The sequence below is a fragment of the Homo sapiens genome, chromosome 1 (genome assembly GCF_000001405.40).
Source record: "Homo sapiens chromosome 1, GRCh38.p14 Primary Assembly".
Taxonomy (NCBI): domain Eukaryota; kingdom Metazoa; phylum Chordata; class Mammalia; order Primates; family Hominidae; genus Homo; species Homo sapiens.
The window spans coordinates 204308446-204332376 of record NC_000001.11 but is presented as its reverse complement, the minus strand read 5'-3'; the positions used below and the strand labels follow the sequence as shown (position 1 = coordinate 204332376).

Below are 23931 nucleotides of genomic sequence, written 5' to 3'. Positions count from 1 at the left end.
CAGTGAGGACTGATGCCTGCCTGCCTGGCTTGGCATGGGTTGATTCAGAGGTAACCTCAGGCCCTGTGGTCCCTGAAGATCAGTGAGTGTGGGGAGGTGGGAGGTGGCGTGGCTTGCAGGCAGCTGTGCCTTGGCCATCTTGTGACTTCCCAGCGTGGGCATGAATATGGAACAAGCACATTGGCTGAATTCTGGGTTAACCCTCTGTCCCCTGCAGCAACATGCCGGCAAAGGGTGAGCTAGGGCAGGCTCCTTTTGGCTCCTTGATTGGTCTGAGGTGGTGCTTCCTCCCAGCACTCCGCCCCTCAGGAGGCAGGTGGATTAGTCCACTTGTCTCTCTTCCTGGAGCAGGCTGCCAGGAGTTAGGAAAGGAAGCGTTTGGGCATGAGGTGTGTTTGCACCCCGGCTCCTGCACACCTTTCTAGGCTGGTAAGGGGAGGCTCCCTCTGAGCAAAGTGGGCTGGGATGGACACTGGGGCCTCTCGGGGCATGGGGCTTTGAGGACGGGGGGACGGCTGGGTGACTCTAGGGGCATGGGGCTTTGGGACCCGGGGGGGACAGCCGGCTGACCGTTGACTCAGTTTCCATGTTCCCAGGGGCCTCTCTAACACTGCCCTCTCCATCTTTCTTCCCTCACTCCTTACAGTTGCTTTCTTTTTCCTTTCTCTTTTTCTCTTTTCTCCCTTTTACTCATTATTTACTTGGCAAATTTGAGCTCTGAAATAGGCCAAGCATGATTCTCTCACCTTCTATGTTCTCCCTTCCAAAGGACTTCTCTAAAAACTGAATATTCATCGTGTCCCTTCTGAACTCTCTGTCCCCTTTTCCACCAATTCTCTTTCCTCCAGAATGTTCTTCTCTTCTCTCCCAAGAGCTCTGGGATCAGTAGCACCAGGAAGTGTTAAGGGAGGAAGCAGCCTGGGAGGTGCCAGCTGTTTGCCCAAGGTGGGGTTGGCTGTAGCATGGGTCGCTGGGCTGGGCTGGGCTGCAGCATGGACTTAGGTGCTTAGCTCTTCTGTGTTCTTGTTCTTCCCACGCCTTCTGCCTCCTTTCTTCTTCCTGTTTCCCACTTCTGGTACCTACCTAATGCAGGCAGAAAGGCAACAAGGCATTTGATCAGTTGCTGCAGGTGCTGCTTGGCTGAGATGCTCATTCCTTTTTTTTTTTTTTTTTTTTTGAGACAGAGTCTCACTTTGATGCCCAGGCTGGAGTGCAGTGGCATGATCTCAGCTCACTGCAACCTTCGCCTCCTTGGTTCAAGTGATTCTCCTGCCTCAGCCTCCAGAGTAACTGGGATTAGAGGCATGCGCCGCCAACATGCATGGCTAATTTTTTTGTATTTTTAGTGGAGATGGGGTTTCGTCATGTTGGCCAGGCTGGTCTCGAACTCCTGACCTCAGGTGATCTGCCTGCCTTGGCCTCCCAAAGTGCTAGGATTACAGGCGTGAGCCAACGTGCCTGGCCGAGATGCTTGTTCTTTCCAGAACCCAGGGTACTGAAAGGCCAAACTCAGTATGAGGCTGGAGATGCTGTTTGTTTTCGGCTCTGAGCCAGGGTGATCTAGGGAAGGAGGGGTGCTTCACATCGAAAGACAGAATGAAGCTCCTCCACAACCTCATGGTGGGGCCTTGGGAGGGCTGCTTCCTCTTCGGTAGCACTGGCTCTACCTCTGTCAAAGGCTCTGAGGGGATCTGGCTATAGAAAGTGAGCTCTAACTTGTCACAGTTGTTCTGCTGGGAAGGGAAGAACAGCCTGAGGGTTCTCTCTACAAGTTCTCCAGAGCAGGACCTCCAGAGGCCTGGCCAGCTTAGAGGAGTTTATTGCACTATCGCCTAGCACAGTTACTCCTAATCTGTAGGGTCTGATTTATATTTTTAAAGCTTTTTATTAGAGAATCAAGCATACACAAAAGTAGAGAGACTGCTATAATAACACCAATGTGCCCAAGCTTCAGTGGTTTTGAAGTCTTCTCTTAGTCAGTCTTCTTTCAAGTATGTTCCTGGTCCTTTCTGCCCTCTGACAATTTTGAAGCAAATCCTAGACAGCTGAATATTTCATCTCTAAAGAAAGGGACTTCCAGCTGAGTGCAGTGGCTCATGCTTGTAATCCCGGCACTTGGGGAGGTCAAGGCGGGCAGATCATCTGAGGTCAGGAGTTTCAGACCAGCCTGCCCAACATGGTAAAACCCCACCTTGCAGCTTTTTGGCTAAGATCAAGTGTAAAGATAGGGACTCTAAGAAAAATACCAAAATATGATCACACCTAAACAAAATGAACAATTCCTTAATGTAATCAACTGTCCTGTTACTGTTTATATTTCCCTGATTATATATATATTTTTTTCTAGTGTTCTTTTAAATTTGGATCCAAATCAGGTCCATTCACTGTGATTGGTCATTATAGCATTTAAATCACTCCTAATCTGTAGGTGTTCTCTCTCTCTCTTCTGAAGAAACTGGATTATATGTCTTCTCTTTTTTTTTTTTTTGAGACAGGGTCTCACTTTGTTACCCAGGCTGGTCTCAAACTCCTGGCCTCAAGTGATCTGCCCACCTTGGCCACTCCAGTAGCTGGGATTACAGACAATGAGTCACTGCATGCAGCTTGGGTGATTGTCCTGTAGAGTTTTTCACGTTCTGGATTTGGCTGATTGCATCCTCATCGTGTCATTTAACATGTTATGCTGTCCCTGTAGTTCCTGTAAATGTAGTTAGATTTAGGGCTTAATCAAATTCAGGTTCCTTTAATTTACTTATTTGTGGGACAGAGGCAAGAATCCATTCGTGGTATGCACATCTATCAGGAGGCACACGATGTCTGGTTGTCTCTTTTTTTGTGTGATATTGGCAGCCTAGATGATCTTTGCCTAGCTCCATTAATCCATTACAGGCTAATTGCCTATTAATGACTCTCTAATTAGACGTTGCTTCTTTGATCTCACAGTAAGCGATCTTTTGCTTTGGAAAGAGGCCCTTCTCTGGGAGGTGTTGTGGTAGAGGCTCTGGGATGGCAATAGGATGGCCCACTCCCACCTGTTCTGGCTTCCCTGTGGACTGGTAAGACATGGGCCCCATGAAGGCCAGGTTGAAGGTCCTGGAAAGAGTCCTTTGCATTGCTTTCCAGTCATGTTTTAAGTCTTCGTACTGATGGAGGGAGTCAGAGCCTGAAACATTCCAAATAACTTTTCCAGTTAGCTCTGAAATACAATTCAGCCATGTTTAATCAAATTAATGCTCAGACACAAATCTTTCCCAACTATCCCCTCTAATCACCCCAGGCTCTTTCTACTATCAGTGACCTAACAATAACTCTATAATAATAGCTTACAGTCTACAAAACATACACACACAAGAAGTAGTGCAACACAGAGGGTAAGAGTGGAGCTTTGAGGTCAGCTGGGTTGGCTGCGGACTGTGGCTCCACCACTGTCTAGTTGTTTGGCTTTGGGCAAGCTAGCTAACTTCTCTCCACATTAGTTTCTATCCAGCCTTATAAGGTTGTTATGAATATTAAGTGAGATGATATAAACAAAGAGCTCAGCACAGTGCCTGGGATATAGTAGATGTGCAACAAATGTCAGCTATTGTTATTTTGAAATCATCTACTCATAGCAATCTAGTATCTAGCTGCAAGACTGTGCAGACACTGCACAGGGACAGAGTAGCAGCAGACAATTGAAAGTTGACTGTGAGGCCGGGCACAGTGGCTCAAGCCGGTAATCCCAGCACTTTGGGAGCCTGAGGCTGACGGATCACCTGAGGTCGGGAGTTTGATACTAGCCTGACCAACATGGAGAAACCCCATCTCTACTAAAAATACACAATTAGCCAGGCATGGTGGTGCATGCCTGTAATCCCAGCTACTCAGAGGCTGAGGCAGGGAAACCCGAGAGGCAGAGGTTGCAGTGAGCCGAGATGGTGCCATCGCACTCCAGCGTGGGCAACAAGAGCGAAACTCTGTCTAAAAAAAAAAAAAAAGAAAGAAAATTGACTGTGGGTTGGGTGCAATGGCTCACGCCTGTAGTCCCAGCACTTTGGGTGGCCGAGGCGGGAGGATCACCTGAGGTCGGGAGTTTGAGACCAGCCTGGCCAACATAGAGAAACCCCGTCTCTACTAAAAATACAAAATTAGCTGGGCGTGGGGGTGCATGCCTGTAATCCCAGCAACTCAGGAGGCTGAGGTAGGAGAATCCCTTGAACCCAGGAGGCAGAGGTTGTGGTGAGCCGAGATCACGCCTCTGCACTCCAGCCTGGGCAAGAAGAGTGAAACTCTGTCTCAAAAATAAATAAATAAATAAATAAATAAATAAATAAATAAATAAATAAATAAAATAAATAAAAGCAGCTTCTTTCCTTTTTATCCCAGCCAGGGTCATCAGAAAGCAGCCAGGGCTCCAGCTCTAATTTTGAGAATAATGAGGTTTTATCCAGAGAAGTCAGGGAACTGGCTTTCAGAAACACAGTGAGTCAGAGGATATGCCTCAAATGGGAAAGGAAAGCCAGCCATCCCAGCTCTCTGATACCTGCCCTGTCCTTTCCTTAGGAATGGGAGCAAGTGAGAAGAAAGGAGAGAGGATTGGGGTTTGGCTTATACTTGCTCTTGTATTTTTCCCTTTTGGAGGCCTGGGCTGTCTCTTGCCCTTGAGACAGGCCCCCTGAGTCCTTGGTCTAGAGAGCCAGGTGGCTGTGCCTCCTCCCCAGGAGCTTGTGGTCCCCTGGGGCCTGGCACAGCGCTCGCCCATCTGCCCATGCAGATCAGAGATGGAAATCTGCAGTTAGACCATTGGACACCACAACGTGCATGGACAGATGAGGAAGTCTGCTTGCAAGGTGCCAATCAACGACGGGGCTCTCAGCGCTCTCCTGGGCCTCAGCGGGCCAGAGACTGCAGGCCAAGAAGGGGCTCCCAGAAGGGGCCCGTCGGCATCAAGGCTCACTTGCCCTGTGCTAGTTCCTTATCGCTGTCTACTTCCTGTACCTCTCCACATGTGGGGCACTAGAGACACAAGACACCCTCTGTGGGCCTTGAGAGGGAGACAGAAAGGAATGGAGCTGGGGATAAATCAGGAGTGAGGCCTCAGCGCCAGGTGGGTGGGAGAGGTAGGAAGGACAAACAAGCAGGAAGCCCTGGTACTGCTTTCTTGGGCATTAAACGAGGAAGAATGGTGCAAAGTGAACAAAATGAAATACTGTATTTCTGTTTCACTGGGCTCGCGCCTGTTACATCCTTGAGCTACTTCTTTTGCTGGGAGTTCAGCCTTGTGACTCAAGCATGTGAGCAGAGAGTGGCAGGGTTTCTATCCCAGGAGGAGGAGGAGGGGATGGAGAGAGACTGGGGAGAGGCTGAAACCCAAGTAGCTGCTTTGTCCACAAATCCCTACTACAGAGGCTGCCGTACCCAGCGCGCTTCTGCCTGGACCACTCCCTGCCTAAGTGCGGAGGCCCCAGGGTTTGGGCAGTGAGCAGTTCCTCACCCTATTTGGATCATATAGGAAGGAGGGAGCTAGTCTAAGGATGATGAAAGGCAGTGAATGCTGAGTGAGGTCAAGTCCTAGTGCTGAGCTCCATACTGGCACACAGAAGGCACTCATAAAATATATATGGAATGAATGAATGAACCAACCAACCAAGGAGAAGGAAAGGGGTTTGATTACATTTATCCTCCGACTCTTAATTCTCTAGCTTAATCCCTAGCAGTCAGATTTAGGGCTTGGACAGCAAAAATTATTTGCTAGAAATGTGTTGTGAGAGGGTGTAAGGCTCAATGATCTATCACCTGGAGCACTGCTTTGTGAATTAATTAACCAGGCTTTTGGTTCTCTTCTTTCTCTTTTGTCTCCATGCCTCTGTGGTGCTCACTTGGGTTTGGGAGGTGGCATGGACTGGGGCAGCCATGCAAAGTCTTGTTAGAATGAGAGCTGGGAAGCCTCTGTCTATCTGTGCTCTCATGGCCCTTTTTGGGTTCTGAATATGGGTCTCGATTGTCTCTGTTTCTTTGCCAGTGCTTTGCACATAGTGGGCACTGATAGAACATTTGATGAGCTAAGACGTGACCGTGTGTTGGCACAGGCAGGAGGGAGAAGCTTCACTCTCCTGGCTGGTTGGGTCTAAGGGAGAGAGGAGCTGAGTGTCTACTTGTGCCCTCTGGTCTTCACAAACTGAAGGGCACTGTTGGAGCCGGGCTCTGTTTCAGCTGGCAGAAGGGGGCATGGAACTGGAGCTGCCCTCAGCCATGGAGAAAGTTGGCCACAGCAGGACTGGACACGTGGAGTGCTCAGAGCCTGCCTCACAAAGCAGCTTAGGAGAAAATTAAGTGGTCTCAAGCCAGGGGAAGCATGGCTCCCTGTGCTGGATGCATTAGGGAGACGGCTGGGCAGGGTGAGGAATGGGGCTTGCTGTGGGCAGAGGGACTCTGCCCCTTTTGTGTTCAGCCCAGTCTATATGTTAATGGCAGCCCAGCGGTGCTTGGCTTTGGCAGCCTGGAAATGGCAGCTACTACTTCTCCCCATGCTGCCCTTCCACCCCTTGTTCGCCTGGGCCCTGAGATCTCTGCAGGACTAAGTGACCTTAGGGACAGGCAGAGTAGAGTCTTGCGCCAAGGCCTCCTGGGTTTGTTCACAGGCTACTCTAAGAAGCCACCAATAAGGAACTTTCTCAGGGCTCAGGGTCCTGAGCACCTTTAGAAGTTTCTAATAGGATTTTGTCTTCCAGATAGGAAGGAAAACCCATCCAGATCTTATAGAGGAACCAAAGCCCAGCGAGGCAGGTACTTGCCCACAGTAACGTGTGTGCTGAGGGCTCACCAAGCAGGCAGCTGGGCATTCGGGCTCCTAGTCCTGGGACCTGAGCTCTCAATATTTCTGAGCATGAAGATCTCATGTGGTGCCCATTGGTTCTTTGTCAAACCAGATATTTATTTACGTGAGTTCTTTGGTAGGACAACCAATTTTTCTCAGTGTGCCTGAGACTGTCCCGGTTTGAGCACTGAAAGTCCTGGGCAAACTGGGACAGTTGACCACCATGTCCCTAAGGATTCTCCCCCTGGCAGCCCTCTAAACCCAGTTTGCATTTCTCTTTATTGCTTTAATTGCAGGAAACATTTCTTCCTGGCATTCGTTTTCTATGGGCTGACCCCAGAGAGCTGAACTTGTAGATAACTGGGAAGTAACGTTGCCTACCCAAGGTGCCTGACACTAGACTTTCCTATCTCTCAGGAGCTCTAAGACAATCAAAATAGTTGCATCTCTCTAAATGCAATTGGGGTAACTGAAGTACAGTGTGGAGGTGGCTCCTGCCTCTCCCTTGCTGAAAGCTCTGATCAAATTCTGTATTCCTGGGAGGCTGAGGCAGGAGAATGGCGTGAACCTGGGAGGTGGAGCTTGCAGTGAGCTGAGATCACGCCACTGCACTCCAGCCTGGGCAACAAAGTGAGACCCCATCTCAAAAATAAATAAATAAATAAATAAAATTCTGTATTCCTGCATCTCCTCTCTTCTAAGTAACTCAGGCATCATGTGATCTCCAGTCTCCTTTATCCAACACAGTCCCTAAGCCAAAGGACAAAGACACAAACAGGTGACCCAATACCCTTTTAATGAATGGAGAAACTGATATCTATGGAAGGTTTAGTAAGCTATTGGCCTCAGGTCAGATAAAAACACCAGGATCCTAATCGACTTCCAATTCAGCACCTTTAGACATAAAGCCTTCAGCTTTTGTGACTTCTGGAATAGTCTCTCCACTTTCACTCATTTCTTCTGAATTGTATCCCTCTCAGATAAGACTTTGTCAGAGAAACTCAACCTCAGAGAAAACTGTTTCTAAGTTCTCTTCATTTGGTTCCTTTCCTTGTCTTATTGATGGTGAGACATTTCTGTCTCATCACGAGCTGCCTCTCTAATGGGGGCTGCAAAGTAGCCAGAGCTGGAGTTTCCTATTGCCCAGCCCTGCCCTTCGTATCCTATCCCATAAAGGGCTTATTCATTGAGGCCCCTTTCTTTATCCTATTTATAAATCTTTTCAGCATGTCTTTGTGCCCAGTGACAAACCCTATTCTATCCTCTACTTCAGCCTTTGAGATACTAAAAATTTCCTTCCATCTTCAAAATCCCTTCACGATCCATAGCCCTGACTCTTACCAGGGATGCCTGGCAATCAAAGTCAGAGCAATCAAAGTCAGATTCTGGGATGTGGACCCCAAAGAGGGCTCCTGAAGTCCTCGTGCAGCTGAAACACATCCCTACTGGCTGGACTTTTACTGCACTTCATCATAGCTAGGAGTGACTCATGCAGACTCAAGCAGAACCTTGGGGCCCAGGGCAGAAGTGTGACTTCAGGTCTCACTCAGCACTCATCAGAACACTCACTCAGTATGCTTGTAATTAGAATTGAGTGATCTCATGGATGAACTGTACTGGGCTAACTTGAAGAGCACAGCTCTGGAGTCAGTCTGCCCAGGTCCTTTCCAAGTCCTGCCACTCCATCCTCAAGCAGGATATTTAACCTGATTTTGTCTCAGGTTCCTCATCTTAAAACAGAGGTCATAACAACAACCATCTCAAAAGGCTGTTGTGAAGATCAAATGAGTTGCATTTAGAATTATGCCTCACACAAGTATGCACTCAATAGATAGCTATTATTATAATACTAGGTAGCTTACACCCTCTGCCATTTACCTCTCTAGTAAGCTGTTTATTCATTTGACAAACACATACTGAGCACCTATTATGCACCAGGAATACAAGTACAACCTTGTTGAAGCTTTCCAGTTACACAAGCAGTTTATAATGCCCTCTAATTTCACATTAGCTTTCTTTCTTCCGAAATGTCCATTTGGCTGTGACAGCAGTTGAGAAGTCATCACTTTGGTCCCATCTAGCTCTCAGTGATCCTAGTCTGCATGTTGTGGGGCAAAGGCCACTTGCCTTGGGAGTCAGAGGACCTGAATTTCTATTGATGATTCAGCTGGTAACCAGCTGGGATCTATTGGACAGGTTGCTTCATCTTTTCTGAGCCTCAGTGTCTCCATCCTACCTTGAGGGGTGCTGCGGAGATAAGATGAGATAACGATGCAAAAGACCTATTAAATGTCAGGTGCTAGGATGGAGCAAAGAGAAGACAGTCCTTGGGAGAGTGCCCCATCTAAGTGCAGAGGGGGGCCTCCCCCAGGCAAGGCTCTGAAGATAATTAACATGAGTGCAAGCTCCCGGAGGGCACTGAGTGTCAGGGCCTAGCACAGTGTGCTGTGGCACATAGTAGATACACAGTTAATGCCTGCCACATAGCTGTAGACCCTTAGCAAATGTTTGTCAAATGAATAAATGTGACATAAATGGCTCTAACCAATGTAAAAGCGGGGAAGGCATTAAGTTCCAAGGAAATGCAAAGCAAAGGGAAGGTCAGGTTTGGGCATGGTCTATCAGGGAGGGCTTCCTGGAAGAGATGACTTAGATTTAGGTTGGGAAGACCTTGCATCCACAGAATGATACGCCATGGGACAAGAAGGGAATTTGCAAAATGCGTAGGGCCAGTTAGCTTGGTTGGGGTGGGAAGAGTGGTCCCCAGAATAAAAGGAGTAGGATAGGAGTTTACATGGGCAGTAGCTACAATTGGGTTTTGAGAGAGTAAACACTTGGTTGGGGGAATGTGGAGGAGCATGTGTGAGGAGTGTGATTATGGCTGGTGCAGAGTAGACCACAGGAGGCCCATTATCTGCTGCCTGCCCATTAAGGAAAGAATCCCAGCGGCTGATAGCTCTGGATAATAGTGACAGCGGTTGAAGCTATGGGGGCCTGGGACTGCCTGAGACCACCGGCTAAGCAGCCAGTTTCTATTGTCCACTAATGGCACTTTGAAGGTGGCAAAAGCTGGATGGCAGCAGCCTGCTGTGCGACCCCACTGGCTTCCCAAGTCACGCCAGGGAGCTGGTGTGGCTCATTAAGAGTCCTGAGAACTTCTGTTGCGGTGGAAAGCAAGGGCACAGAGAACTTCCAGAAGGATGCCGGGGCAGCTAGGACTAAAGTCATCCAGTTTAGAGCCTTGAGGTGAATAGATCATCATTTCCTCCCCTTAAACAAGGAGTCTGGGCACAAATAGGCGCTCATTGTTAGTGTGTTAAATTGGGCAGCATGAGACTAAAGGGGTGTGTGTAGGGGGGCGGGTTCAGACGGACCTGAGGTCCTGTGCAAGCTCTGCTGCCTCTGTATTGATATTAAGAAAGCTTCCTAACCTCTCTGGGCACCACTTTTCTCATATATGAAGTCAGAGTAACAAAGATTTTTGCCAAAGAGTTAATTCGAGGACTAGCTAAGGTATAGATAACAGTGGCTACATAGCACATGGTAAACTGCTCCACAAGTGGTGGTGGTTTATGTTTTTAGTTTCTTCTCAATATTTTTTAGTCTCCTGCTAAGGGAGAGAAGGCAGAGCATGCCCTGCCAGAGCCCCAGGGGCAGCTCCTGGGCCTGCCTTTCCTGACTCAGCAGCAGGCTGGGCCCACTTGGGCCTGCACTGCCTTAAGCACTGGGGCCAGCCGACTGAGTCTGCCCTTTTCTCCTTTCTATTCTGGCAGACACACAGCAGACATTTATTAAATGCTTGTTGAATGAAAGATGCATTTGACATGGTCCTTGTCCTTTCCGTTTCACAGTCTAGCAGGGGAGACACACTTGTAAACAAAGGATGAAGAAAAATAAGATCAGATGCACAGAGTGGTTTGCAAACACAGAGGGAGGAAGACTGCCTGGGTGGAAGTAAAAAGTGGCTGTAGGGTCAGGTTTAGGTTGAACCTTAAAGTATGGGAAGGGTAGGGTGGAAGGGTTGAGGTTCCAGCAGAAGAAACAGCATGCACAGAGGCTGAGATGCAGGAGGAAGCATGGGCGCCGGAACTAGATCAGCAGAGTCAGAGGCTGGAGCACAGAGTGCACTGCAGGGGGGCAGTAGGGGAGGCTGGAAGGTGGGCCAGCCTGTGAAAAGCCTTGACAGCCCTACACAGGAGGCTGAACTTAATCCTTTAAAAGTTATAAGCAGACATGGGGCACAATCAATTTGCGTCCTTTCCTCTCCTTGCTCCCATCCTTATGGTCATGTGCAGATCCTCAGGATTCTGAGGATCAGAGAGGCTTGTAGCCTGCCTGAGGGTGCACAGCATGTTAGCTGTGAGGTCAGAATGAGAGTTCAGTGCCTTTGGCTTCCCCTGAGTGGTGCTTTATGTAGTGGACAGTCCTGGTGATGTTGCCTGACTCCCTCTACCATCCTTGTGGGCAGCCATGGCCTCTGGGTAACACTATTCCATATTCTGACCCGAAACAACAGCCTTGTCCATTTAAAGAGCCTAGTGTGATTGAGCCTGGACCTCCCCCTTCATCATCTGCCCCCTTCTTTGGCACAAAGGAGAAGCTACAAGATCCCTTGGAAATAGCCTCCTGCTTCATTTCCAGGTGCTGGGCTGCCTGGCATGTACCAGACTTGGCTTCAGAACATGTTTTTCAAAAGAGATCAGGCAGGCTTTGCAGAATGTAATGGCATTATTCTGGGTTTTTTGGGGGAAGGCTAAGAACCCCTCTCTCCCACTCCCCATTCTACACACACATACCCTAGAGATCGAGCTCCAAGAGTGCTGCAGGCCAGCCCAGTGTGCTGTGCGTACAGGAGGTCTCCACAGAGCACGTGGAGGGAGCAGTTGATGTATGAGCAATAGCCATGTGGGGAGAGATAGGGGACCCAGAACTTTCCAGAAAAGAAGGAGGAGCTGTGGGGCCCCACATGGGCTCAGCATAAACAGGGCTGACCGAAAGTTTCCCTATCTCTTTGCCCCAGGGAAATTCCAGAGAGAAGCCAAGTTGCTAAGTTATGGTTTCTAGTTGTTTCCCTGAGTCATGCAGGCACCAAGCCTTCTCAGAGCCCCTTCCTATAGAAGCCACTGCTCCTTCCCACCCACAGTCTCCTGGGGAGCTGAGCTGCGAGTATGGTGAATCCAGATGGAGGGCATGGCTCCTTCCTCAGGGCCCTGCTGGCACCAGCTCCCCACCTAAGAAGCACCCCCCATGCTCACCCCTACCTCGAGGGTTGGGAGTCAAGTGGAGGGGTCTACCCAGTGTACATTGCATGCCACCATCCTCCTAAATCCACTTCCATCACCCAAGACAGCACCGAGCCTCCATTAAATAGGTGGACATGGAGGCATGAAGGGGTGGTGGAGCATAGCATTCCCCCAGGGAAGAGGCAGCTGGTTCTTTGTTCCCTTCCTTATGGTGGGAAAGGAGAGAATAAGGATGATGGGGCAGCAGTGTCTTAAGTCTTGTGGCTTCCTGGCCCCTTGGTGGCTGAAAGGCCACTCTGCTACTAGTGCTCTCTAGTGATATCCCAGATGGACTCTAGTAGGGCAGCCTGTTCCACTCGTCCCTGTTAGAATTAGACCCGCAGAGGGTGGTGTACCATGATTCCATTGAACTGGTTTGAGATGACCATGAGCTCCTGGTACCCACTCACCCACTCTTCCTCCCTCCCTCCTCATCCCTGCCCGCCCTGTCCCTTTCTCCCTTCTCTCTTTCCTCCCTCTGTATGTCTCCCTTCTGTCCTCCCTTTCCTCCCTTTCTTCCCCAAATATTTATTGAGAAATGTTTATATGCCAGATACCAGGAATGCAAAGATGAGTAAGACACGGCCACTGCCCTCAAGGAACTCAGAGTGCTGTGGGGGAGGCAGACATGTAAACAAATGACTGCAATGCAGGACAACAGGCGTGACTCAGAAATACCTGCTTCTGACTTACAGACAAAGCGCACAGGAGGGAGGGACCACTCCTGTTGGGTGGGGACAGGGGATGTATGGGGACTAGAAGTGCCTACTAGCTCTAAAAGAAGCCCGCCTTAATGGGATCCTCCCTCGCTTATGTTCACACAGTTGTGACAATGAGTAAGTCTCTTAATGTCTCTTGATCTCAATTTCCTCAGTTTTTAAAAAAATAATGTATGTTTGGGGCTTATCACAGAATGAAAAGATATGAAAAGTCATGGGTTGTACCCAGTATGAGGAGATAGTTAGCCAGCTCTCATTTGTAAGGACAGTGAATAGGACACGGAATTTTGGAGGAAACAGTCTATAAGACTGACAGCCTGCTCCTCCTCCTGCTCCCAGTGTTATGAAATGTTCCATAGCACAGGAAAGGACTGTGGGCGCCTCACGGGGAAAGGAGAGTGATTCCACAGTTACAGCCCACTCCCGTCTTCTTTCTCCTCTTTCCTTCCCACCAGAAGTGTCCACTGGGTTGATGTGGCACAGGGTCAGTTCTAGAGATGAACCGAGTACCTTGTTTTTGGGGGACTTTGCATAGTTATCAAGATGGGAAGGAAGCAAGGGCAGACTGGGAGAGCTAGGGACCACAGGAACTTGGAGATGGAGATTACCTGATTTTCTGTTCTCCCATTTACTGGACCGGAAACCTTCCCTCTCTGCACTGCGGGCTCACTCATAGAGTGGCCTCTGGCAAGTCAGAGAATATTCCCCTCCTAACATCTCTGGACCATGGAGAAAATGAAACGAGACGTGCTCAGAAACAACCCGAGTCTTCCAGAATAAAGGGTATGGGAGAGATGTAATGTCATCTGGTCAGGTTTGTACTGTTCAAATTAAACGAGTACTTAATGCATTATATGCTATGAGCCTGTTAACCAAGTTTATTATCGCCAGCTATTGTAGTAGAAAGCTCTGGACTTTATATTGTGACCCTGGAGTTATTGTTTCCTGAATTCAAGCCACTTGAAAATTAAATTGCTTGAGGCGAGTGCCTATGAGGCCACACTTATGGAGCCACTTCTGTCACAGACAAGGCCACCTCCTCAGTGGCCAAAACTTCCGAGGGCCGGCCTTCCCCTGCTATGCAAGAAGTTGGCTGCAAAGTGAAACAGACGCTGTAGTCCAGTGGTTCCAAGTCCAGACTTGGGAAGCAGAGTTCAAATCCAGGCCCTGCTACTTCTTAGCTGTGTGGCAACTTAACTTCTCTCTGGTTCAGTTTCCTCACTTGTACAGCAGGGGTAATAATAGTACCTACCCTGCTGAATTGCATGTGGAGTAAATGAGCCAATTTGAAGCCCTTGGCCCTGTGCTCTCGGATCCTCTACACGCTCTGTCCAGCCACTGCTCCTCCAGTGACCTCTGTCTCCTTCTCTAAAGCCAGGACAGACACCTGTGAAATCTCCTGGGCACTGGGAATTGGACTCCAAGAACAGATTGTCTTTGGAGAGACACTTCTTAGCTTCTCCCACATAGTGACTTTCAGTTTTTTCCCCACCCTACAGAAGGATATTTACCTTGTAAGCAAAGATATTCATGCACGCACGTGTACACACACATGCACTCATGTGTGTATAAGTGTATGAAATAACACTTTTATATAGCACTTGTGTAAAGTACTTTTCCAAATGCTCCATGAATATGGACTAATACAGTCCTCACAATAATGATATGAGGTGGATACTGTTATTGTCCTCCTTTTAAAATGAAGAAATGGAAGCATAGAAAGATTAAGTGGCTGAGTCAGGATTCTCATATTGTGTGTGTGTGTTTTAACAAAAGTATCCCAAAATAATATTTATTCTTACCAAGTGCAGTATACACTACGTTCTATTCTGTTCCATTAAATTTTTAAAAAATGCATTTCTCCCATGTGCCAATTTGGATTATGTTTTACTAATTTGAGTTCCCAACCCACCGATGATTCCAAAGCCACAGTTTGAAAGACACTATCTGTAAGACAGGGTAGTTAGAGGAAAACTTCTGAGGAAAAAGAAATGGCAGACTTCCTCCGTGTGGCTTGTGTTCAAAGGTGGGTGGAGATCTAGCCGGGAGTGTTGGTGGGGCTCTGAGATGGATGAGAAGGTGCCTCCTGTTCCTAGATGTGAGGTTCTAAAGAAAATAGGCCCAGACCCTCAGAGCCGGCTGAGGAGGTGAAGGCTACAGGTGGGGCCGAGCTTGCATTCCTGGTTGGGCAGATTCTGCTGATAAACTCTCCGAAGAGGCCTGGCTGCTGGAACAACATCGCTGATTGTTATCTTATCTCTTCCCAGACTCAAATCAGGAAAGGCTTTCCAAACTGGAGCCCCTGCCTGGAGCTAGGACCCAGGGCTGCTAGCTGTCCCTGAGGGCCTCTTTAGGCCTGGATTGGTATTCTATCAGCAGTACCCTATGCTTAACTCTTTGGTTTAACTTTCTGAGACATTTTTATATTTACCAAGTTATTTTATGCTCAGAAGAGCTGAATTTGGTGAGCACAGGTTCCATTCCATTCTACAGGTGGGGAAAAGAGGCTGAGAGATGCTCAGTGATTTGGTCCAGGCTGGAGGAGACTGGAAGGTACCTCCAGATGTCCAGTTCTGGTTATTTCAGCTGCAGATGGCACGGTAGATTATGTGATTGGCCTTGGAGGTGTTTAAGGAGTGGATACGAGGAGGCCGCTTTATCTGTCTGGGGTTCATCATTTGGCTTCTCCGTTCTTCAGCCCTAGTTGCGCCTGGTAAAATACCAGTAGGGTGATTGAGTCCCACCCTGGGATATCCTAACGCAGATGCCAAAGGAAAGAGGAATGAGCTGACATCTTTATTGATTTCCCTAGTGGGGAATGGGTTCAAATAGGTAAGTTTGATACCTGTATTGAGCTCTCCAGTGGAGAATGGGCTTAAATTCCAGTTGGCCAGATAAAAGTTAAATCAAAGACTGGGAGGCCAGAAAAGATGGGAAACCGAGGGAAACTGTGACCTTTTAGAAGGACCTCCATCTCTCTGGAATGAGTTAGCCAAGTCACCGTGCCAATGAGTGGGGAGGCAGGGCAAACTCAGCTCCGGAGGCTCTGCCAGCTCTGGGTGGTGCTGAGTGAACCCTACCCCCACATATCCTGCAAAGGCACTGGGAACAAGGGGTTGGGTACCCCTGGACTCACCCATTGAAAGCATTTCTCCCGTGTCCCTATTCTGAGCGGCCTGCAGCTGTCTTTCCCGGCAGCTGTCTCCCTGAGCCTACTTGGGTTTCTTGTGGGCACAGGGAGTGCTCCAACACCCACTCTCCACATCCTGTATCGAGAAAGTCAGGTTCTTACCCAACCAGGGCCTCTCCTCCCCTTGTCAGTCCCGATGTTTCTTTTAATAGTTTAAAAAGTTAGAAAAATATTTTTCAGAGCTTTAGTTGCTCCTGAGAAATTCTAGCTTCCTCCCACTGGGAGTGAGCCTTCAAAGATCATTTATCCATTGATCAACGAGAAAATATTTATTGAGCGGGAGCCACCTCGCGCATTGCATTACATGCATCGTGGGACTCCACAGTCTGGCCCCCAAATACCCGTCCAGCTTCATTTAGTTATGAGGAATAAGCAAGCTTATAAATAGGAAGCATTCCCACAGTGTCCATAGTAAACACACAGTAAATGTTTATAGAATTATCGTTACTTCCCAACACGAACCTTTACCTAGTCCAGGTACCCCAGTAATCTCCCGTCTCCTTAATGTGACTCCCTCTAAAACGCCCAGCCTCCTCCTCTCATGCTGTCGTCTCCATGCTGTGGCCTCCCCTGGGCATCTCCCCGGCTCCCCACTCACGCTGCCCTCATCCCAGGCTGCCTGTCACGGGAGGATGGTTTTGTTGGTTTGCTTTTATCTGTATCCACTCTCTAGATTAGGGTTTCCTTGAAGGTGGGGACCACATCTCTGCTCAGTCTCTAGCACTGTCATGCTCAGGACATTTCTAGGGAATGACTGGCTAACATATGCCTACAACTTCACGGCGGAGGGGGTTTTCTGTGGGCTGGGGGTGTTTAACTGAAGCTTTCTGGAAGAGGTGGCATTTGAGCTCAGCCCTAACACGGTGTCCACCTGCCTTCCCCTGGGAGATTTGGATTTAACAGGCATCTGGGGGAGAGGGAAGGGGAATGACGCTGCCAGAGCAGGAATGCCTAAGGCCTTTCGGGGAAATGTTGCAAAGTTCAGTCAGGTTGAACTAGAAAACTTACACATGGAGCCATAGAATATGACGTTTGAAAGATGAGTGGGGACGTGCCGCAGTGGGCCTTGGATGCCAAACCGTGGAGGTGGACCCTTATGTAGCAGGCAGGGGAGGGGTAACCACTGAGGATTTCTGAGCAAGAGAGTCACATGATGAAACAGGTATTGAGCCATAGCCAGTGGAGGGGAAATTGGCTTTAATTTTAAAGGCCAAGGACAGAGTCCTAAATGTCCTCTTATCACCCATTTCAAGTGATTCTTACTATCTAACCTAAACCATTCCTGCTGTAATCAAAGTCCAGTTTGTCTCACAGGAACTGGAAAACAGCTGGACAGGGCTGTCATTCTCCCATTTCTGCCAGAGTGAACCCACATATCTTGGTGTGGTGCAGGAGTGTGTGCCAGCGTTCCGAGCCAAGCTGGCAGAGCTCTGGATCACATGAGGGCACCGAGGCCTACATTGATACCTCTAGGGGTTGGATTTGGAGTCACTGAAGCCCCTGTGGAATTAGAAGACCTAGATCCATCCCTGAGTACTATTCCCTACTCCCCAAATACCAGCATACATGCTGTCCCTGTGAAAAGCTTGTGGGCATCCATACCAGCATCTCTACCGCCCCTGCGCCATTGTGGAGGTAAGAGATGAAGTGGATAAAGGTCTCTGAGGCAGGGAGATAAGGGCCTAGAAGAAAGACAAGCTTGACTCAGGGAAGGGCACAGGAGAAGAAGTTAAGGAGGATTCTGCTATTTCTCGCCCCAGCTTGGTTGGGATACTCATCTGACACCTGAGAGTGAGGTCCGCCAGGAGCTACAGAGGCAGCAGGTGTCTGTCTATTCCCCTCCAGTCTCCTTGGTTAGACCATCCCCAGGCCAGGGGGAGTGGTGGCCAGTTAGGATCAGTCTTGTCGTTCCAGGATCCTTCTCTGCACTTACTGTTGGCCCAGTCACTCCATTGTCGTCTGCAGGAGTATTAGATGAAATTCCAGAGACTTCAGTCTCTAAAGAAGAAAGCTTTTCTAGAACAGGGAATTTATTTCTCTCCCCGGGCTCACAGGGGAAGTGGAACATTCCATTTGAAGGGTGAAACAGGAACAGGTGAGCTACAGTTCAGACAACAGGACTCTGAGACACAGGTTGAGGGAGTGGCTGAGCCACTCATGCTGTCCACCTCTGTCTCTGCCATCTTATTATCAATCTGTTTGAGGGCACCTTGCTTCCTGTGCCCTGATCTCAAGATGCTAGGATGGCAGGATATGGCTCTGGGACCCCTAAGGAAGACAGGTAAGAGGACATCCCTCAGAAGATCCTGTCCCTCCCCATCTGGGGACCCTCACTTTCCCACCCACCAGTGCTGCTGTGTCCCACAATTCTGAGGGCACCGTTCACATTGTGCTATATGGGAATAGTACCCCCTGGGGTTGTGCAGAGGCCAGGAAGTCTGTGCCAGCAGATAAGTAGGAGGGCAGAATCGGACACTTTTCTGTGTTCTAGGCAAACAATAGAGACCTTTCCAGGAAGCTCGGGGGAGGGAGCTGCCTGTAAGAGGATCCCCGGGGAGATGCTCTGTGGGGTGGCTTGAACAGGTTTCTGCATTTGCTGCTGCTTGCTTAATTAGACACCTACATGGTGCTCTCTGCTAATGACCATGTCTCCCAGGGAGATGACAGATAGAAAGGTGGTTAGCTGCAGAATGTCAGGTGAAAATCTCAAAGACAGCCACCTGAGGATGGGGGCATGGAGGTGGAGAATCATATGATTTCCTTGGGCTAATATGGAATATAGACTGCCAACAAGAGAATTTTCTCCCCAGGGACTGAGAAGAGAAGCAGTAGCCTCAAGGTCAGCTTCTTTCTTCAATAGTAACATCTTGTGTGAGCTCTGAACTCCTGGCTGTGGTTTGTGCTCTTGAGAAATGGGGAGGTCATCCCTATGTTCAGGGAGTCCCCGAGGCCAGATGAGCCCAGGAATGTGCATGTTTCTGGAGGTAGGCATCCTGGAGTGGAGGACAACCCGGTGTTTTTCCAGCACCCTGTAAGTTAGGTTGAAAAGATGAGCTGTGTGGGGAGGCCTGACTATTGTGTGAAGTGCATCACTAAGATGGTGAACTCCAACAGGGCGATTAGTCAGGAACCATCCTGGGATTTGGAGCTGAGCTTTGGAAATGGGCTAAGGGCTGGGCACAGTTGGTCCCACTTGTAATTCCAGTGCTTTGAGAAGCTGAGGTGGGAGGACCTCTTGAAGCCAGGAGTTCAAGACTGGCCTGGGCAACGCAAGGAAGGAAGGAAGGAGGGAAGGAGGGAGGGAGGGAAGGGAGGAAGGGAGGAAGGGAGGGAGGGAGGGACAGAGGGAGGGAAAGAAAAGAAAAGAAAAGAAAGAAAATGGGCTAAGGGCCTGTGCTTTGAGAAGCTGAGGTGGGAGGAATGCTTGAGGCCAGGAGTTCAAGACTGGCCTGGGCAATGCAAGGAAGGAAGGAAGGAAGGGAGGGAAAGGAAAAGAAAAAAAAGAAAAGAAAAGAAAAGAAAAGAAAAGAAAAGAAAAGAAAAGAAAATGGGCTAAGGGCCTTGATGCAAATGCTTCAGAGCTTCTCAGAGAGTGCACTAGAGGCAAACTGATTTCTGCTGATGACTCGGGAAGTGGCTGCATTTTGGCATTTGTGATTCTTCTGTGCCTGTCCCCAGCACACTCTAGCCCATCTTTGTGGAACTGGGATTGTTGGGATATGGGTAAAGAGGTCCTGTGGTCCTCTCCTGGGTGAGCCAGCCAAATATTTACCAAAGCAGCGCTGCCGAGAAAAGGTGCCAGGACCCAGGTGAACGTTGTGTTTGTGCTGCCCAAACAATGCCATGCTTCATGGGGTCCTGAGCATCCCGGCCCTGTAGTAAGGCCTGGAGCCAGACCCAAGCAAGGGCAGGTTGTAGGAAAGCACAGGACTGTGTGCCACTTGTGAGCCAGAAAGGTGTCACTCTGCCGTTGAGTGTTTCTGGGATGCTTTGAATGGTTTTGCTCTTGTTTCCTCCATCCCAGGAAGGCCTGAACACCCCCAGAGGGTGGAATCTGGAGAGGGACAGTAGGATTGCTGTGTGCCGTTTATCTCTCCCATGCTTCTGATGGAAATGATGGAAATAAGCATTTCTGCACATTTCAGGGACAGAGTGAGGTTGGCAGAGATGATCGACTGTCATGGAAGCCTTGGACTGTAGGGAAAAGACTGGGTTTTGAAGCTGAGTAGACCTAACTGAATTTTGGCTGTGTCACTGACTAGTTGTGTGATGCTGGGCAAGTTAGCTAACTCTTCTAACCATGAGTTTCCTGTGCTATAAAATGGGAATACCACCACCCACCTCCAGAGTTTCTGTAGGAATTCAATGAGAAAATATGTATAAAGCATCTATCCAGCACTGGCTCAAGCATTAGGCATTAGCATTTTGTCATGTAGCACCAACTTAATGCCTATAGTAGGAAGGGTAAGAAATGGGCTGAGACCAGAGGAAATGCTATTGCACGAGGGATTCAGTTTAGATCTTAGGATGCATTTTCTGAGTTTAAGGATTTTAGGGCCCGCATGGCCATGGGTGATTGTGAAGTTTCCTCCTCTAAAGAAATAAAATGATTCCCTTTAGAGTGTAATCTTAGGGCTTTCATGTTGGGAAGTAGGAAAAGGAATTATATTCAATTTCATTCAATAAATATTTTTGAGCAAAGGTACTTTCAGTTCCAAAGAGTTGATGATTTTGTGTTTAAAAACCCTTTGAACATCTTGGAAGGAAGAAATATTTGAAAACTGTATTGTATTTGGCAGTTATCATTAGTTTTTTTTTGTTACACTCAAGAAGCCTTAATCTGCTTAGTTCTGGAACTAGAAACAATGAGTAGAAGCAGAATAACTTTTTTTTTTTTTGACACAGAGTTTCGCTCTTGTTGCCCAGGTTGGAGTACAATGGCATGATCTCGGCTCCCCACAACCTCTGCCTCCCAGGTTCAAGTGATTCTCCTGCCTCAGCCTCCCGAGTAGCTGGGATTACAGGCATGTGCCACCACACCTGGCTAATTTTGTATTTTTAGGAGAGATGAGGTTTCTCCATGTTGGTCAGGCTGGTTTCAAACTCCCGACCTCAGGTGATCTGCCTGCCTCAGCCTCCCAAAGTGCTGGTATTACAGGCATGAGCCACCTCGCAGAACTTTCTAACAGCACTCTTCAACAATGGAGCAGGCTACCTTCCAAAGTAGTGAGTGTGCTGTCTCTGCAGGAGTTCAAGCGGCCTGTGGATAACCATCTTTCATAGTGGTTGCTGAGGCCTTTTCCTGCACCGGCTGGGAGGGCAGACTGCTTAATGCTGAGATCCCTCCAAAATGTGGGAGGCTCTCATTCTGGGATCACCAAATCTCCCAGCTCAGGATAAGGGGTTTCCCTAACTCTAGGCTAATGCACTAGAGATTGGAATTAGGGCAAGTTCCTCCCCACACCCGCATCATCACCGGAGGCATTCTTCCTGACTTCCTTCTCCAAAGCAGAGCCTCTTTTCTCTCCCTAAATGTCCTTTACTATGATTTTTTCTCCCAAAGTCTTTGAGCTTTTGTGTACTCTCCCTGCTGCATGTCTCAGAACTAGCTTTTATTGTAGATGAGTCTTTGCCCTCTGTTCCTAATCATTTCTAGCAGGATGAGAGATTGGCAATCAAGCAACTATTTATTGCATCTCTACTACGTATAAGGCATTTGTATAGGAGCTGAGAGGGAAGGCAAGGAATTGCAATAAATAGTCCAATCCTTAAAAATCTTCAGTCTCTCTTTTGGAAAAACGTTTTTGGCGTAAAAAGTCAGTTGAGGGTCAAGGTTGTATGTAAATGACAGTTGAGTGGTAAAGACAGTAGTAGGAATGCGGGAAGGGGAGGGAGTAAGAGATGGCCAGTAGTAGGCTGAGGTACTTTGGTGAACTGGGCCAGTGGATTTCAGATCTGACTGCTGTTGGGATGAGAGACTGAAATAGAAGAGTCAAAGTTGACCTGGAAGTTATAACCCTGTTTAACCAGGAGAGTTAACATTGACATTGATAGAAGTAAGGGTGAACTTAGATGGGGAGCCCATTCATAATTGATTTTTGTTTTTTCACTTGCATGCATAGTAGTCAAACAATATAGAAAAGTATTCAGTGAAAGTCTCTCTCTCGATCTATCTCTCATCTATGCCCAGTCCCCTCCTTGGAGAGGATCACTGTTACCAGTGTCTGCTACATCCTTCCTGAGAGGCTGTAAGCTAGGGGTCGGCCAACTGTGACCCATGGGCCACATCCAGCCCACTACCTAATTTTGCGTGACCCTTAAGCTAAGAATGGGGTTTATATTTGGTGCTGAAAAAAAAATCAAAAGGAGAATGATGTTTTGTGACACATGAAATTCAAATTTTAGTGTCCACAAGTAGAGTTTTATTGAAACATAGCCACACTCATTCATCTATGCTTTTTTGTTTCTGCTCATTTGTTTACTTATGAGTGGCTGCTTTTGCACTATGATGGTAGCATTGAGTGTAACAGGGACTGTATGGCCTACAAAGCTAAAAATATATATCTAACCCTTTACATAAAAAGTTTGCTGACTCCTGCTCTAGGCAAATATAATATTGGTAGTTAACATAAATTATTTCTTAGTCCAAGAAGCATCATACTAAATTGATACTATCTTCATTTACCATATCTTGTACAGTTCCTTCTCAATATGGTCATGCATTACTTAATTTTGGGGCTACATTCTGAGAAGTGCATTTTTAGGCAAGTTTGTTGTCATGCGAACATGACAGTGTACGTACACAAGCCCAGGTGGTATAGCCTACTACACACGTAGGCTTTATGGTGTAGCCTATTGCTTAAACCTGTACCGCATGCTACTGTACCGAATACTGTAGGCAGCTATAACACAGTGGTATGTGTGTACCTAAATATAGAAAAAGTACAGGAAAAATGCAGTGTTATAATCCTATGGGAACACTTTTGTATATGTGGTCCATCGTTGACCAGAACGACCTTATGCGGCGTGTGATTGTACAATGATATATTAGTCAGTGGGTGGTCAATCTTAATTTGATTGTAGCATGCTGAGTTTAAGGTTCAGTCTGGTTACCCTCAGGAAAATGCTCAGTAGGTGGTTGGGCTCATGGGACTGAAGCTTGGAGCCTGGAGGTTGAGATGCGGGGGAGACCTGCAGGGAGTCTTCAGTGTGAATCTGTCTATGACCTCAGCCTGCACGTCAAATATTTCCCTTAACAGAAATGAAGCACTACATGCTGAGCACTGTACAAAGTAAACTATGGATGTTAATAGAGTGACAGAAAGACAATGAATGAGAAACATGAAACCAGCCACTGGAGGAACAGTAAATACTACAGGCAATTTAGAATTACCTTCTTGAGGCCGGGCGTGGTGGCTCACGCCTGTAATCCCAGCACTTTGGGAGGCCAAGGTGGGCGGATCATGAGGTCAGGAGATCGAGACCATCCTGGCTAACACAGTGAAACCCCGTCTCTACTAAAAATACAAAAAAATTAGCCGGGCGTGATGGTGGGTGCCTGTAGTCCCAGCTACTCGGGAGGCTGAGGGAGGAGAATGGCGTGAACCCGGGAGGCGGAGCTTGCAGTGAGCCAAGATTGTGCCACTGCACTCCAGCCTGGGCGACAGCCAGACTCTGTCTCAAAAAAAAAAAAAAAAAAAAAGAAAAAGAAAAAGAATTACCTTCTTGAGTCAGCTGGCGACTGGAGGTAGTGGGAAGAGCAATGGGCATTTACTGAGTGCCTACCATGTGCCCCTGTATACATGTTACCTTATTTACTGTGACTCAGATGGGATCCTTAGCCTCATTTTACAGATAAGGAAACTGAAGCTCAGAGAGGTTAAGTGATTTTTTTTTTCTTGCAATCAGTGGTCCAAGTGAGTATCTAGTTGTATTAAAGCATGG

The 23931-nt window shown here is 48.0% G+C and overlaps 1 protein-coding gene across 23 annotated transcripts in view, besides 1 other annotated feature; it reads left to right on the top strand.

Moving 5' to 3' along the window:
- PLEKHA6 (pleckstrin homology domain containing A6) overlaps positions 1 to 23931 on the top strand; it is a 159316-nt gene that overhangs the window by 45792 nt on the left and 89593 nt on the right. For 10 of the 23 annotated variants that reach the window (XM_047449467.1, XM_047449458.1, XM_047449457.1 and 7 more), the window contains exon 1: positions 18097 to 18268. The exons of the other annotated variants lie outside the window; for them this stretch is intronic. In XM_047449467.1, coding sequence (XP_047305423.1) covers positions 18231 to 18268 — 38 coding nt within the window. In that variant the 5' untranslated portion in view covers positions 18097 to 18230. Of the gene's footprint in view, positions 1 to 18096; positions 18269 to 23931 lie in introns of those variants that run through there. 23 annotated transcript variants of the gene reach the window in all.
- Positions 9993 to 10492: an enhancer, noted in NCBI's record as "H3K4me1 hESC enhancer chr1:204291013-204291512 (GRCh37/hg19 assembly coordinates)". NCBI's record gives its function as "activates a minimal SCP1, AML or CMV promoter by ChIP-STARR-seq in primed H9 embryonic stem cells {active_cell/tissue: H9 hESC(primed)}" and the evidence as "EXISTENCE:reporter gene assay evidence [ECO:0000049][PMID:30033119]".